General features: G+C 44.9%; 1 protein-coding gene across 7 annotated transcripts in view, besides 1 other annotated feature; it reads right to left on the bottom strand.

The window, feature by feature from the left end:
• LATS2 (large tumor suppressor kinase 2) overlaps positions 1-18,087 on the bottom strand; it is an 88,551-nt gene that overhangs the window by 28,140 nt on the left and 42,324 nt on the right. The gene's annotated exons all lie outside the window — the stretch shown is intronic.
• Positions 16,389-16,528: an enhancer, noted in NCBI's record as "active region_7428". NCBI's record gives its function as "activates an Ori minimal core promoter by ATAC-STARR-seq in GM12878 lymphoblastoid cells {active_cell/tissue: GM12878}" and the evidence as "EXISTENCE:reporter gene assay evidence [ECO:0000049][PMID:35858748]".

An 18,087-nucleotide genomic window follows, 5' to 3' on the forward strand; every position in this document is an offset into this window, starting at 1 on the left:
GTTTGCTAAAATAAGACTTTTGTCACAATGGAGATAGGTGAACAGAGGTAAGCACATTCCACAGAAACTTAATATACTCAAAGTTCCCTATTAGTACACACACATGGCATGGTTTCAGGGGTCCTGGATCCTATATTTCTATTCATGTGTAACAGTGCTACCAAAAAATGGGCACTAAAAAATTTCTCCCATCCCTGTATGTACGGGCTGCAGCCCCCAGTGTGAAGCGGAATCTACTTCCCCTCCCCTTGAATATTGGCTGGCCTGTGATTTTCTCTATCAATGGAATGAGCAGAAGTGCTGCTGTGCCAGTTCTGAGCCTCACCCTCAAGAAGGCTGGCTACTTCCATTTTCAGTCCTCAGATCGCACCATGGTTGGAGACAGATCCAGTTAACTGTGTTGCAGTTCTAACCCATGAGTGAAGCCCTCTTGGGTATTCAGCCCCAGCTGAGTTCCCAGTGGAATGAGCTACATGGAACCCCAGCAGATACCACTGGAGCAGAAGAACTGCCCAGCTGAGCACAGCCAACCCACAGAGCCATAAGAAATAATAAGCCATTATTTCACTGGCATGTGCCTGTAGTCCCAGTTACTCCAGAGGCTAAGGCAGAAGAATTGCTTGAACCTGGCAGATGGAGGTTGCGGTGAGCCGAGACAGCGCCCCTGCACTCCAGCCTGGGCGACAGAGTGAGACTCCGTCTCAAAAAAATAGTAATAATAAAATAATAACAAATTTTAAAAATCCATTTTTTTTTGAGGCGGAGTCTCGCTCTGTCGCCCAGGCTGGAGTGCAGTGGCACTATCTCGGCTCACTGCAAGCTCCGCCTCCTGGGTTCACGCCATTCTCCTGCCTCAGCCTCCTGAGTAGCTGGGACCACAGGTGCCCACCACCATGCCTGGCTAATTTTTTGTATTTTTAGTAGAGACGGGGTTTCACCATGTTAGCTAAGATGGTCTCGATCTCCTGACCTCAAGATCCGCCCACCTTGGCCTCCTAAAGTGCTGGGATTACACGTGTGAGCCACTGCGCCCGGCCAAAAAGCCATTATTTTTAAGTCACTAAAAATTCTGGGATGGTCTAAGATGGTTGGTTACACAACAGTAGATAATTGATAACTGGTTCTACTTTGCTGTCTGCTATGTATAATCTGGACAAATATGCCCATCTTTTAAAAAATTAACTAACTAATTAATTAACTTTTTTTTTTTTTTTTTGAGACAGGGTCTCACTCTTGTTGCACAGGCTGGAGTGCAGTGGTGTGAAAACAGCTCACTGCAGCCTTGACTTCCCAGGCTCAGGTGATTCTCCCACTTCAGCCTCCAGAGTAGTTGGGACTACAGGTGCGTTACCACCACACCCAGCTAATTTTCTGTATTTTTTAGTAGAGATGGGGTTTCGCCATGTTGCCCAGGATGGTCTGGAACTCCTGAGCTCAAGCAATCTGCCTGCCTCAGCCTCCCAAACTGCTGGGATTACAGGTGTGAGCCATGGTGCCTGGCTATTTTTTTGTTTTAATTTATAATTTATTTTTTAGAGACAGGGTCTTGCTCTGTCACCCAGGCTGAAGTACAGTGGTGCAATCAAAGCTCACTCCAGCCTCTAACTCCTGGGCTCAAACTTCCTGCCTCGGCCTCCCAAGTAGCTAGGATTACAGGTGCAGGCAATCACACCTGGCTAACTTTATTCTTTAATTTCTTTTTCATTTTTAGAGAAAGGGTCCCACTATATTGCCTAGGCTGGTCTCAAACTCCTGGCCTCAAGCAAACCTCCCCACCTCAGCTTCCCAAAGTGTTGGGATTATAGGCATGAGTCACTGCACCTGGCCTATTTTATCTTAAAATTTGAATGGTTTGGTCTCCTCAGTTTTTGTCCAAATAAACTCAATTGCTGTTAAGATCATCAAGTTTTCTGAAAAGGTAAATTTTCAAATAGGTAAGATGACAATAATTAACACAAAGATTTAACAAAATGCTTAGAAATAATAATTCTTCAAAAAATGAGACTGTTCCATTATTGATTGCTGGTGTGATCAGTGAATTTTGAGAACCTAAATAAATATGTATTTTTAAATTTATTATTATTATTTTTGAGAGGGGTCTTGCTCTATCGCTCAGAGTTCGGGCTGGAGTGCAGTGGCCCAATCTCTGGTCACTGCAAACCCTGCCTCCTAGGTCCAACCGATCCTCCTACCTCAGCCTCCTGAGTAGCTGGGACTACAGGTGCGCCACCACACACAACTAATTTTTGTCTGTCTTTCTTTTTTTTCCTTTTTTTTTTTTTAAAGACAGAGTCTTGCTCTGTTGCCCAGGCTGGAGTGCAGTGACACAATCTTGGCTCAATGCAACTTCCACCTCCTGGGCTCAAGCAGTCCTCCCGCCTCAGCCTCTCAAGGAGCTGGGATTACAGGTGCCTCGCCACCACACCCGGCTAATTTTTGTATTTTTAGTAGAGATGGGGTTTCACCATGTTGACCAGGCTGGTCTTGATCTCCTGATCTCAAGTGATCCAGCCACCTCGGCCTCCCAAAGTGCTGGGATTACATGCGAGAGCCACCATACCAGGCCTAATTTTTGTCTTTTTGGTAGAGAGAGGGTTTCACCATGTTGCCTAGGCTGGTCTCTCCTGGGCTCAAGCACTCTGTGCATCTCAGCCTCCCAAAGTGCTGGGAGTACAGGCATGAGCCACTGCGCCTGGCCAGGAGTGTCTTTTTAAATAATCTTATATCTTTTAAGGCCCTAAAGTAAATAATTGGTTGGGTTAATATTTGACTACAAAATTACTTTTATTAATGTTTAAATGCTTTTGTTCTTAAAGTGTGCTAAACTCTTAGCTATGGCTATCATTACTAGGTCAAATCTCCCTGTGAGAAAAACATACGCCAATTTTAAAAAGCAGCACACAAAGAACTTTAAAATGAATATAACATACAAAAGAATATAACATTCAAAAGCACTTTAAAATGCTTCTGTAACGGTGGCTGGGTGCAGTGGCTCACGCCTCACCAACCCAGCACTTTGGGAAGCTAAGGCAGGTGGATCACCTGAGGTCAGGATTTGAGACCAGCCTGACCAACATGGTGAAACCCCGTCTCTGTTAAACATACAAAATTAGCTGGGCATGGTGGTGCATACCTGTAATCCCAGCTACTCGGGAGGCTGAGGCAAGAGAACCGCTTGAACCCAGGAGGTGGAGGTTGCAGTGAGCTGAGATTGCGCCATTGCACTCTAGCCTGGGCAACAAGAGCGAAACACTGTCTCAAAAAAAAAAAAAAAAGCTTCTGTAATGCAAGGGAGAATCAAATTTTAACAGTATACATCCTGTTCAGTCCTAGTGTTTTGTATAGCATTACTGGGCACTGACCAGCACACGTGTGTGTCAGCATGAACTTGCGAGTGCACACAGCATGCTGTTCTGGGCGTAGGAAACCAGCAATGCAGTGGGCTTCCTGGCCCCCTGCCTCCAACCTGGCAGGCACACATCTGCTTTGGCAGGAAGCGCTTTGCTCTAATAGCACCATGGGGCTGTTCAACAGTATCCCGAATCCAAGGGGTCTGAGAGCCAAGCCCAATGTGAGACTGCAAAAGAGCTTCATGAGGAAAGATTTTTCTGTCTCCTTCTAAAACCTACACCAACCAAGACATTGCTGTTTTTAAGGACAACAGGTACACTAAAATTTGGTTTGTACAAGTCACCAGGAAAATAAGTAATTACACAAAATCCACAGGGGGAGTCATCATGTGCCAGGCCATGAGCATGACTCCAAGGGACAGAGACCAGCCCCGGCGTTCTAAATGCCTGGGGAAAGCAGCATAGCCAGGAAGCCTTCAGCAGAGAGCACAGGAATGGGGCACTTCATGGGAAGGACCATGTTGGTCCCACAGAAGATGCAATTCTAGGAAAAATCTGGGAACCATTAGTCAAGAGGGCTTGGTGTCATGACTAGGTAGAGGCCCATGTTTTCCCAACACAAAAAAGGCAGCCCAACACTAAGTTAGAGAGAAACCCACTTTAAAAGAATGAGCTGAAGATGGTCAGGGCTGGGGCTGGGGTAGAACTCAAAAGGAGGCTCGAAAAACTGTCTGGTGAACAGAAAAGATTGCACACAGAGAAATCAGAGAAAGAAAATCACTTGACCTTGACAGGGTGTAGCGTAAGCCAGAGGGATGCTGGGACCCAGAGCCGGCCTCTGGCACTCCTACTGGGCAGGGCTCATGCTGGCCAGGGCTACACTGACCCAGGCAGAAGTGGGGCTTTCTCTGCCTTCCAAGGTAGGTTCAGGTCCAGGGTCAAAAAAGGGCTTGCCAAGTTCCTCTGCAAGCTTCATTCTGAACTTCCAGTGTTTTTCTGACAGGAAGAGTAATAAGATATGGGTAAGACAAAGCCCTGTCTGCTGGAGCTCTAGCAGCAGAATTAAGAAAAGAATTAGTTGGGGTTTTAATTCGCACTCTTGCTGGGAACACTACCTTAGGAGGAAAAAGGTCTTCATAAAGGAAAGGAAAACCTGTAATCCCAGTGCTTTGGGAGGCCAAGGCAGGAGGAACACATGAGGCCAGGAGTTGGAGGCTGCAGTGAACTATGATTGTGCCACTGCACTCCAGCCTGGGTGACAGAGTGAGACCCCTACTCTATAAAAAAAAAAAAAAAAAAAACGGAGGCCAGGCGCAGTGGCTTACGCCTATTAATCCCAGTACTTTGGGAGGCCGAGGTTGGTGGATCACCTGAGGTCAGGAGTTCAAGACCAGCCTGACTGACATGGAGAAACCCCGTCTCTACTAAAAATACAAAATTAGCCGGGAGTGGTGGCGCATGTCTGTAATCGAGTGGTGGCGCATGTCTGTAATCCCAGCTACTCGGGAGGCTGAGGCAGGAGAATCGCTGGAACCCGGAAGGCAGAGGTTGCGGTGGGCCAATATCATGCCATTGCACCCCAGCCTGGGCAACAAGAGCAAAACTGCATCTCAAAAAAAAAGAAAGAAAGAAAAGGAAAAAGGAAAGGATTCACTTTCTGCCTCAGCTTATCATGTGTGAGGAAAAAAAAAAAAAATCACAGCAAGCAAGGTGGTGGGCCAGAGCCTGCAAGAGGCTGGGACAGCTGTCATTAGTGAGCAGAGAAAGAAGACCAGGCCCAAGACACACATGCAGCTCTAACAGGTGGCCACTCTCTGGCCCTGGTCCCCAGCGCCCACTGTGTACATCCCTTAAAAAAGTGAGCAGACAGCCAGCTTAGCCCTGCGGAGACTCGTTGTGGCACCTAAGTTATATGCTATGATGAGACTGAGTTTATAAAGGACTAACTTGTGCCACAATTGAGCATTAATAGCCAAAAAATAAGCCAGATCATCAGAGCTGAAGCATGAACAGATTAAATGTGACTCCGGAAGAGCAGACTTTTTCTGTTTGGGCTCCAAGCCACTCCTGGCTCCTGAAATTAAGTAGGCTGAATATGTGTGAAGACTCTGCTCTTCACTTCCAGACAAAGGCTGCCTGGAAAATTCTGCCGCTGTCTCCATCAAAAAGATCCACTTACTCGACAATGGCACATAGGCGTGCCTCACTGCACACACCTGTCTCCGACTGTGGGGCTTTAGGAGAGTAGCTGTGTGTGTTTGGGACTTTTTAAGAGAGTAGCTGTGCATGTTTGGGGGCTCTGGGGCTCTCCGTGCCTCCCACAGCTCGCTCTGCTGGGGACAGGCAGCCCGTGAGTGCCCAGGGAAAGGGACATTTGGATGCAGACTGAACAGAGCTTGCTTCCCTGTGGTTATTTTTTAAATGCTGTCAAGTAGGTTGGAAGATCTGGCAAATTATAGGTTCACCCAAGAAGGAAGACAGTAATCTGCTACTTTCACAAAGTGCCCTCAAAGAGTCACTGACAAGGTAATTCGGTAAAGTATACAAATATTTTAGTTATGAAGTATGGTAGCAAAAACTGAAATTCCCTGGCTATGCAGTTTTTATGTATTTTTCTGAAAAAGTTACAGTGTAACTTTGAAATATATACATATTATGGGTTTAATTTTTAAGTTATATTTCCAAAGGCTCAGAATCTCTGTAACAAGTTTCCATTTTCCAACAATGCTTTAAAATCCAACCATTTTGTTTAAAACTTGGCTGTTACCCTACCAATTGGAATTTCTTCTTTTAGTCCATGTTTCTGACAGTGGAATGTCAGGACATGCATCCTCCATACTGATTATAAACCAACAGGCATTTTCTTTCTAAATGCCAAAAATTGTGTCTACAGACCACAGCCTGTTTTCCAGGCACTGAGAAGATATAAGGAGGCTCGGCCAATAATCAGGTTTCTTCCAATCAGAGCCAAGGATAAGGGAAGGAGTAGTTAGTCGTAGGGGATGGATATATATATATAGTATATATATATATATATATATATATATATATATATATATATAGTATATATATATATAGTGTGTATATATATATATAGTGTATATATATATATATATATAGTGTGTGTATATATATATAGTGTGTATATATATATATAGTATATATATATATATAGTATGTATATATATATATATATAGTATATATATATAGTATATATATATATATATATATATATTTTTTTTTTTTTTTTGAGATGGAGTCTTGCTCTGTGGCCCCAGGCTGGAGTGCAGTGGCGCAATCTTGGCTCACTGCAGCCTCCACCTTCCCGGTTCAAGCGATCCTCCTGCCTCAGCCTCCTGAGTAGCTGGAATTACAGATGCGAATCATCACAACCGACTAATTTTTGTATTTTTAGTAGAGACAGGGTTTGCCATGTTGTCCAGGCTGGTCTCAAACTCCTGACCTCAAGTGATCCACCGACCTCAGCCTCCCAAAGTGTTGGGATCACAGGCGTGAGCCACCGTACCCAGCCCTGACTTCTGTTTTAAAAGGCCCACTCTGGCTCCACCGTGGGGAGCCAGGTATGAGGGCAGAGGTGGACGAGGAGCTGACAGGCCAGTAGGATGGCACAGAGGCGCAGTGGTGCTCGCTGCTGCATTGCCAGCTACTACTGTAGGACAGACACTCGGGCACCGCATCCAGGGGTGGGCGGCTCTCCTGGGACTCCTGCTGGGGTTCTCAAGAGGCACCCCCTGCTCTCACAGGACCTCTTTGGCTCTTGCTGCTCCAGACTACAGCCTTGGGCGTGGGGTGGGGTGGGGTCTCCTCAGTGGGGAGGGGCAGCCCGCTGGGTGGTGTTGTTAGAATGACTTCAGACTGAGACACAAACAGCCAGGAGCCATGCGTGTGGTCCCTCCTTCTCATAATAACGCTAAATGTAGGTATTTATGTTTCACCAAACCAGGAGACTGGTTTGGTCTCCTGAACATTATGAACATTTATGAACATTTCCCAAGTTCATAAAGGCAGTGGTAAAGTCTGAATTCAAAACTTAAATAGTCACAAGAAGTCCAATGTCACCAGCAATCATAGAACTTCACTGAAAAAATAAGAGAGCACTTCACACCCATTAGATTGACAAATACTTTAAATATCTGACAACAGCAAGTGTTGGCAAAGTTAGAGAGATGCTGCATTTTGATAAACTGAGGAAAGGTGTGTAAATTGGTACAATCACACAGGAGAATATTTTGACCATATCTAGTAAAGTTAAAGATGCTGAAATCCTACAACCAAGATTCCACTTCCACCCCCTAGATAAGTTCCCCACCTTTGCAAGAGGAGACATAAAAAAGAATACTCACTGTACTTATGTCTGTAGGGGAAAACTGGAAACTATCTAAATGTCCATCACCAGGAAATCACAAAACCCATAATGAATGAAAAAAGCACGTTGCAAAATCACGTTGTATAGTGTTTTAACAGTACAACAAGGCCCAGGTTGTTCGTCCCACTGCCCATGCTCTTTCTTCACAGTCTTGCCCCCTTGTCCTGCCAGCGATTTGGGCCAGAACTGAGTGCATATTCACTGTGTCTGGCAAATAGGAACCGCTCAGTCACGTGTGGTGAGTGATGAATGAACAAACGAACAAATGAATGAATGAATAAAGAAGCAGATGTGCAAAGGTACAGCTCTTTTGTGCCTTGGCTCCCCCACCACGTGGTCAGCTCTTGGAAGGCAGGAGCAAGCATGCTGCACATTCAACCCGGAGCCTTGGAGCACTTTGCAAAGTGCTGAACAGCCATCTCTCCCCGACACCTGCTCCTCTCCTCTCCTCTCAGAAGCTTTGCAGAAACTATTCCTGCAAACTGGTTCCAATTTGCTGCTGGATCATTGGTCCCAAACAATTCCCATACTCTTTGGGCCCAGCAAGTCATGTCTGGGAATTTATACTTATCCTAAGGGTAAGCTAAAACAATTAACAGACTGTTAAGTAAAAACACAACAACAAAAATGTAGGTAACAAACACATATATGTGGGATTTCCAGGTATATGTGGTGCATTAGCCACACCAAATCACTCTTACTATTCTTAATTTTTCATCATAGCTGTTACATAACAATCACAGCATAAGAAGAAAATTCAATACCTTTTAAAATACAGAAACCAGATGGAGGAACAGCTGCTACCTCCACATAACAGACGACAATACACCAAGTACATGCTGTGAGCCCACAGGGCAGTGAGGATGAGGTATGGGTGGAAAAAGAGGCCTCCCTGGAGGTCTATATGAGATCACCTGGGTCCTTAGGTGTCCCCAGGCCCCCGCCCCAACACCAAATCAGACTACAACACAGTGAGAGCAGACAGCAAGGAAATAACACAGAAGGGCCAGGCGTGGTGGCTCATGCCTGTAATCCCAGCACTTTGGGAGGGCGAGGTGGACAGACTGCCTGAGGTCAGGTGTTCGAGACCAGCCTGGCCAACATGATGAAACCCTGTCTCTACTAAAAATACAAAAATGAGCCGGGCATGGTGGTGTGTGCCTGAAATCCCAGCTACTCGGGAGGCTGAGGCACGAGAATCGGTTGAATCTGGGAGGCAGAGGTCGCAGTGAGCCAAGATCGCACCACTGCACTCCAGAGTAGGCCATGGAGCTAGACTCTGTCAAAAAAACAAACAAACAAACAAACAAAAAACCCACAAAGGAATAACACAGAGAGTTAAGTGAGCATGGAAGTACTAAATCAACCACACTGGCTTCAACTCTCCTCCCCTGCCAACCCCCACACACCCTGCAGATCTGAAGATCTCTTCTGGTAAAACCGAAAGGCCCCAGGGACAAACCCCCAGTCCTCCACCTGGTCACCCTACAGCAAAGCCCCCACTCTACAGGCCCCACCCTATAGTCCTTCCAATCAGCTTTTAGTACATCACTCCCAAACATGAAGAGCCAAGAGTGCTGAATATTCAAGGAAGTTTTCCAAACAAAGCCGGAACAAACAAACAAAAAATCAAATAGTGCAAATAACATGACTGTGTTTTCATAAAATTACATCAGTAAAAAAAGCACTGTCAAAGACACTGTGAACTCTGGAAGAGCCAATCCCTCAAGATGAATCCTGAGCAGCCAACTGGGCCTTAGTTGAAATTAGAACCAAGTGGCCATTTGCTGACTAGTCGTCACACATGTACTTTGAATTCCTGGAAAACCCATACCTCTGCTTAACTTGGGGACTTTCATAGCTGCCTGTTCCTGTTTACCCTGCCTGAACCAATCATAAGGTCTGACTTATGTTGACCAATCAGAGCTCAGCAAACATCAACCAATCAGAACTAAGCAAGTTTGACTCCTTCATTTGCATAAATGGACCTGAGTGAGAACATGGACAGAAACTTTATAAAACACAAACACTCCTTAGATTCTCTGGAATGTACCTTCAGTTTACATTGAAGGCTGCAGCTCCCTGGTTTGCAAACTGCTCATTGGAGTAAAGTCTTTTTAAATTCCTTTCCAGAAAACTTTTGTTCACACATATATCAACATGGTAATGGTAGCTACCTCATAGTGATGGTGGCATGTTGATTTTTGCAGAAATGCATGCCAATTAACCATCAAATCATCTTATATCAGGACCATGGCCGTTTCTACCTCCTCTCATCTCTTTCTTGGCAGTATTTTGAAATACCTGCTTTTCCTCACTTGTCCTGAATCAAAAACTGAAACTAGCTACTAAAGAAGGTGAGTATGTATCAACTTCTGGATGAAAGTTGGGATCCGCAGGTCCCCTCCACCCAATCCACAGGCCTTAGACCTCCATGAAATCTGGACTCTGATACTTTGCTACAAATGATCTAGACATATATTTCTCATGCTAGGAAACTCCTGTTTTTAAACTGGTCACTGTACCCACAAGTGGCAGAGAGCTAGGAAACTAAAAAGCAGAAAATATACTTTACAGTTCCTCAGGTCCAGCAACACTTTCTCTGAGAAAATGGTAATTTTGCATGGCTGAGTGACACCATGTGATGGATGACTGAACAGTGTTCTCATCACATGCTACTGGTGGAGACTTTGCCTTGGCCTAGGAATTTAAAAAATCTATTCTGCTTCTTTCCTGACTCTGGAAAATATAGGGGCAAAATACCAGCTGGCTGTTGTAGACTTAACAGAGTTTCAAAAATGATAGAATGTATTAATACAGTCATGCATTCCTTAAATATGGGGATATCTTTTGAGAAATTCATCATTAGGTGATTTCGTTGTTGTGTGAACATCATAGAGTGTACTTACACAAACCTAGATGCTACAGCCCCCTACACACCTAGGCTAGATGGTATAGCATATTGTTCCTGGCTACAAACCAGTACAGTCCTCACTTAACATCATCATTATGTTCTTGGAAACCTGCAAGTTTAAGCAAAATGATGTCTAACAAAACCAATTTTACCATACAGAGGGAGAATGTGCAAACTCCACACAGTGGCCCTGGCCAGGAATCATTTTTTTTTCTCATCAACGCTATAACAAAATGATCTTAAATGAAGCATGTTATTCAAACACCTGTTGCACAGCCTGAGATTGTAGTGAATACTGTAGGCAACTGTAACAGAATAGTGTTTATCTAAACATCTCTAAACATAGAAAAGATAATGTAAAAATATCATATAAAAGATTAAAAAAAATGCATATCTATATAGGACACTTAACATGAATGGAGCCTGTAGGGACTGGAAGTTGTGGAGGGTGAGTGAGTGAGTGAGTGGTGAGGGAATGTCAAGGCCTAGGACATTACTGGACACTTTAAAAGACCAGCAGTGCCCAGTGCTGTAGGTTTGTTTACACCAACATAAACCACACATGCGTAAGTAAGAGTTGGACTATGAAGTTACAGCTACAAAGCCATTAGCTAATAGGAATTTTCCAGCTCCATCACAATCTCATGGGACCATCATCATACATGTGGCCCGTGGTTGCCCGAAACATCGTTATGCGGCACTTGACTGTATTTATTACCAGGTGTTTCATTCACTAGGACCTTTTCTAGTCAAATTTTCTACCTAGTAGTGTTCCTATCTTATGATTCTTTTCTCCTAGAAAATGCTATTCATGGCTTTGTTGGATGGTAAACAAGTATGGTATAAGCGCTTTGCAGATTTTTTAAGGGAACGAGCAGAAAGAGAGGAAGATGGAATGAACAGCGCTAGCACAGGGCGGGAGCTGTGCGAGAAGCTGTGGGTGATTGGGTGAATCACACCCCCCCCCCACCTCCTAGGAAATAAGGGTTCCTAACCACATTTCAAAGATGAACAAACTGAGGCTAAAATAGATTAGCTTTTTACCTAAAGTTACAAAGATAACATGGATGAAAGAGGAGAGGTAAGGAGGTGGGAAGAGAAAATGCTCCAAGTACTTGTTTCTATTGCAAAGCAATTAGTTAAGGTATTGAGACCTTTTCCAACTCAGTAACTTCATGGTCTCTGATGTAATATTTCCTTCATTCAGTGCTGAGGAATACCAAGCAGTGTAAGGCTCTGTTCTAAGCACTGGGGATGCAGTGGTGACAGAGCAGATGAACATCCCTGTGCTCATGGGCATGCCACCCTGGTGCTGGGGTAGGTTCTTGTATATGAAGGTTCTCATGTGCTTGCCTGCTTAGGTGAGTTAGGCCCATCCGCTATGGTGACCATGAAGCAGGCTGCCTCCCAGGTTACCAACAGCTGCTCACCAGTTACAGCCTTGCATGTTCTGCCCAATTGGACCTGACAGCTGTCCTGGCTCAGTACTTATCCTGGCTCGATGCCTAATAATAATCTCATTTCTTGGACTATGACTAATGTGCATGAGGGAATATTAATGATTATACCTTATAAAAGTAAAAATTAGTGTTTGCTGATTCCAGAGTCTGTGGAAAAAGTCCAATTTTCTGTAGAGAAGATCCAAACGGCCAGGAAAGGCAATGGTAGGGTTACTTGGAAGGCTGCACACAGCAAGGTAGAAAGTCCTGGCCTTTGTTTAAAGGGCTTGACAGAGTTCCATGTTATCTACATCCCTTTCCCGTTTATGTTGGAACGTTCTCTTTATTTACTCTCTGAAATGTCCTTTTTCTTGTCCTCCCAATAAATTTGTACAGATCACTTAAAAATAAAATAAGGGCCAGGTGCAGCGGCTCGAGCCTGCAATCCCAGCACTTAAGGAGCCTGAGGCAGGAGGATCACTTGAGGCCTGGAGTTTGAGGCCATCCTGGGCAACACAGCAAGACCCCGTCTCTACAAAACAATTTAAAAAGGAATTAGCCAGGTGTGACCACACATGCCTGTGGTCCCAGCTACTCAAGAGGCTAAGATGGGAGGATCGCTTGAGCCCAGGAGATTGAGGCTGCAGTGAGCTATGATTGCACCACTGTACTCCAGCCTGGGCAACAGAGCAAGACCCCCAACTTGAAAACAAAAGAAGAAGAAAGAAGAAGAAGAAGAGGAGGAAGAGAAGAGGAGGAAGAGGAGGAGGAGGAAGAAGGAGAGAGAAACAAAGAGAGGGAAGGAAGGAAGGAGGAAAGGAAGGGAGGGAGATTAAAATGCCAAAGAATGTAGGAAAAACAGATAAAAGTATTTTTAAAAAGAACAAGAACAGGGTAATATGAGTCGGGGGCAGGGGGAAAGGCGCGCAGGTCACTCCCAGGTCACTCCAGATGGATGACAGGGCTCTCCCAAACCCAAGGCCTTTTCTTCTTGTTCTCCCACAGATGCCAGCAAACCAGGGAGGACAATTAGCATTGCAGCCGGCCACTCTCTCAGGCTAAACCACATCTCAATACAGAGACACATGAGCCAAAGACAGCCCTGACAACCAGGGTCAACAAACCAAAGGACCCACTCCTCACTGCCACCGTGGTTTGGCTTAGCTGATCCTGAAGTATGAATAAAGCACGGCCTTGGCTAAGGAACTGCCATAAAGGAAGTATTTCTGAGTGAAATGTATATGCTAGATAATATTTTTTTAGAAAACTACACACCAGGAAGGTTTTATGGCAATGCTGAGGATGGATGCTAGGAGGACATGAGAAGGAACGACGCTGACCATCCATGCAGCAACTGAAACAAGCTCTGCTGATTTCACTGAAGTGGAAAAATCTGTTTATGCAGCCAGCACTGCTGCCATCAGCCTGAAAGTCCAATGTGAGCAACAAAAATAAACATCACAGGGTCAAGGAAAGAAGAAATATGATACCTTTTTAAAAAAGAATGTTTGTTGAGTGGTTTAAGTTTACAGATTCAACCAAATGGAAACTCCTTTCTCAAAACTCACAAATACCATGCAACCTTCTTTTTCCAGCTGGGATGATTTAAACTATTCTAAGATCTTGTCTGCTTTATGACACGTTAGTTTTGAAAGGAGGTACTGACAGCATGTTTGTTGGCAGGTTGATGAGCCTCAACTGTGAGCTCCGGGAGGGCAGGCCAGGCCTAGTGCGCTCACCGCCGTATCCCTGGGGTCCAACACATGGCCTGGCACTGCTGGCACTCACGTGTGGGCTGAGGCAATGACTAACACTGATACAGAATTCTTCTTGAGTGTCACATGCACAGTGTTCCAGGGAAACTGTATAACTCTCTTGGTCCAGTAATATTTAGATTCCTATTGAAATGAGCTATCCTGTACTTTCTCATGAATGGTTAGATACACATTTTCTTACTCTTCTTCCATCATCAAATCTTTTTTTCTGAAGGGTTCTGCCATCAGCCTCTGGTGTGAGTGGGATTTGGGCTGTTTTGTTGTGACTGTCAGGATCCTGCCCTGGAAGAAGGCTCACACTGCAGACACACGAAGGACCAGGACCCTAGTGGGGACTGGACATCATACTCCCTTGTGGCACAATTTCTGCTGTGTATTTAAAGACATGTCCAATACATAGTTAAGAACAGCTAACTGTATAATTATCCATACTACACACACTGATTCACCACAAAACCCAAGGAAAACTTACTCATAAACTTGTCATAAGAAGATAAGCAAAATAATTTGGCTTCACTAATGCCCAACTTTTAAAAGTTTCCTAGGTAGTTGTTTTAAATAGGATTTGGGGAACTGTGAAAAATTAATTTGATTTTTTACAACCAGCAGTTTGCAAAAAGCTCCATTTACCTCTTTATATCAGTTCATCCCTCATTTTATTTATTTATTTATTTTTGAGACGGAGTCTCACTCTGTCACCCAGGCTGGAGTGCAATGGCGCGACCTCTGCTAACTGCAACCTCCGCCTCCCAGGTTCAAGCGATTCTCTCGTCTCAGCCTCCCGAGTAGCTGGGATTATGGGCACCCAGCATCATGCCCAGCTAATTTTTGTATTTTTGTAGACATGGGGTTTCACCATGTTGGTCAGGCTGGTCTTGAACTCCTGACCTCAGGTGATTTGCCCACCTCGGCCTCCCAAAGTGTTGGGATTACAGGCGTGAACCACCACGCTTGGCCTATTTTTTTGAGACAGACTCTCACTCTGTCACTCAGGCTGGAGTGCAGTGGTATGATCTCGGCTCACTGCAACCTCCGCCTCCTGGGTTCAAGCGATTCTCTCACCTCAGTCTCCCGAGTAGCTGAGATTATAGGCACTCGCCATCATGCCCAGCTAATTTTTATTTTTGTAGAGACGGGGTTTCACCATGTTGGCCAGGCTGGTCTTGAACTCCTGACTTCAGGTGATTCACCTACCTTGGCCTCCCAAAGTGCTGGGATTACAGGCATGAGACAGCGTACCCGGCCTATTTTTATTTTTTTTGAGACAGACTCTTGCTCTGTCACCCAGGCTCAGTACAGTGGCGTGATCTCGGCTCACTGCAACCTCAGCCTCCCAGGTTCAAGCAATTCTCCTGCCTCAGCCTCCTGAGTAACTGGGATTATAGGTACATACCACCATGCCTAATTTTTGTATTTTTAGTAGAGACAGGGTTTCACTATGTTGGCCAAGCTGGTCTCAAACTGCTGACCTCAAGTGATCTGCCTGCCTCGGCCTCCCAAAGTGCTGGAATTACAGGTATGAACCACCATGCTCAGCCAGTTCATTCCTTTAAAAACGGCCAGAAAGCTCTCTAAGAGACTTGATATGAAATTTCTTACACTTCACCCCAGCCAACCCCCAGGAAACAGCAGCTCTCTGCTGCAAATACCAAGGCGCCAAGAGCAGCCTCTCAGGCAACCCAGAGCAAAAACCAAGTGCTTTTCCAAACCAAGGGCAGGCAACTGATTTGTTAATTTCCCACTGTGAAATTCATCAGAAAACCTCTCACTAATAAAACTCCACACAACACCTGAACTAACTCTCTTTATCACGGCAGAGTCCTTAACTGCCTACCTTGTTCCTGTTGTTAAGTCCGGTTCCCCAAAGATAAGTAAAACCAACTTGCCCGATCCATGGCCATGCATCTGTTCTCAGACATAAGAGGGATTACAGCATCAAATCACTTATGAGAAAAAAACATTCATAACAACTCCCACAGAGGAAAATATGGCAGAACCGGAAACAAATTCATCTTCATTAGTGCTTCTTACCCAGATTTCTAAGGACTGGGAAGCATCCCAGTGGTGGTTACTGGAGGTGACCAGCCATGAACAAAGCGCCTGGCACTTGAATGGCAGCCAGCACAGTGAAATAAAACGGACGATAGCCATTAATCATCCAACTGTGCAGAAAAAGTTAGCATTCTATCTAGAGCTGTGTTTTACTGATGTTTGGTAGTTTTTTTCTTTTGTACTATGACTCACAATTTCATAAAAACACTTCCCTTACATAGAGGTGATGCAATCCTTTTTCTTTTTTTTGTTTTTAATTTTTGTAGAAATGGGGTCTTGCTATGTTACCCAGGCTGGTCTCAAACTCCTGGCCTCAAGCGATCCACCAGCCTCGGCCTCTCAAGGTACAGGGATTACAGGCATGAGCCACCACACCTGGATGATTCTTTACATTGTTATGTGCAACCCACAAAACTGATTATTTGATCTACTCAAGGATCTTACTGTGTAGTCTGAAAACCACTTCACTAAAAAATGCTTGGGTGTCATCAGCAACCAGTGCCTTCCCTTCAAAAGATGACTCATTTCTTTCTTTTTTTTTTTTTGTTTTTGAGATGGAGTCTCACTCTGTCACCCAGGCTGGGGTTAGTGGCACCATCTCAGCTCACTGCAACCTCCGTCTCCGGGGTTCAAGTGATTCTCCTGCTTCAGCCTCCCAAGTAGCTAGAATTACAGGCGCCCACCACCACACCCAACTAATTTTTATATTTTTACTAGAGATGGGGTTTCACCATGTTGGCCAGACTGGTCTTGAACTCCTGACCTCAGGTGATCCGCCTGCCTTGGCCTCCTAAAGTGCTGGGATTACAGGCGTGAACCAGCATGTCCAGCCTGATTCATTTCTTCATACTAATAATGTGAGACTATCCCTTCAATTAGGTGCCATGGTTTTCTTTATATCCTCCAAATTTAAAGCTACCATATGGAAGTGGGAAATGTGAGGCCAATTTAGTTTCATTCTTCTGAATCAATGTCACTCAGCTTCAGTAACACGTAGGATCACTGGCTAGTTTTGATCTGAGACTTTTAGGTAGAATACATGTAAACTGACAGTTCAAGGAGGTCTCTAAAACCTAAGGCATTCCTTCAGGCAGGTGTAAAATACTTAGAATTCACTTAGAAAGTAAACACTTAATTAAAAAATACTGTATGAAAATAAGTGAAGGCAAGTTTCCTTCAGACTTGGGACAGACCACACTACCCTACACAGGACATTTGTGACGTGGGTGTTGGGCGAGGTATGTGGCAATACTGAGGGGCATGCTACTGTCCATCTGGCAAGATGAGGAGACAAGGGTTGACATGGAAAAACAAAATTCTGCCCTGGGGCAGATGAAAAGTACTGCATGAGGCAGCTAGAGTTCAGAAGGGGAAGGGCTGGCTCCAGCTGGGTCCACCTGGCCTTTGATGAAAGGACAAGCAGGACCACCCTGGCAGACCACACCCTGCTTGCGCAGCAGGTCCAGGAAGACTGTGGTCGCTTCCCTGATGTCCTTCACCCAGGTGCCTGAGAGTGACATGCTGTTTCATACCAAGACTCTCCGAGCCTTCTTTTCTCAGAGTCCCTCTTTTTTTTTTGACACGTTGTCTTGCTTTGTCGCCCTGTCTGGAGTGCAGTGGCTCGATCACGGCTGACTGCAGCCTCCACCTCCTGGGTTCAAGTGATTCTCCTGCTTCAGCCTCCTGAGTATATAGGCATGCAGCACCATGCCCAGCTAATTTTTGTATTTTTAGTAGAGAAAGGGTTTCACCATTTTGGCCAGGCTGGTCTTGAACTCCCGACCTCAAATAATCCGCCTGCCTTGGCCTCCCCAAGTGCTGGGATTACAGGTGTGAGCCACTGTGCCTGGACCCGAGTCCCTCTTTACGACTAATTTTCCTTTCTACTTTTCTGCAGCCACTCTCTCACGCCCCTGTCCTGTAAATGGCCCAGTAGCTCTGTACGTGGGAACCAGACATCCTAAGTTTGAATCCTGGACCAGCTGCTTTCTCCCTATGTGGTCTAAGGGAGTTCCCTAATTACTCTGTATTTCCATTTCCTCCCGTGTACCTAATTTTTAATACATCTTAAGCACGTAAGACAGTGCTTGTTACCTGGTAGGCACCCAGTAAATGTTAGCTATTATATAGTCACAACATACAGCTGAAAGGTTTTAAAAAATGAACTGT

Source organism: Homo sapiens, chromosome 13 (genome assembly GCF_000001405.40).
Source record: "Homo sapiens chromosome 13, GRCh38.p14 Primary Assembly".
NCBI lineage: Eukaryota > Metazoa > Chordata > Mammalia > Primates > Hominidae > Homo > Homo sapiens.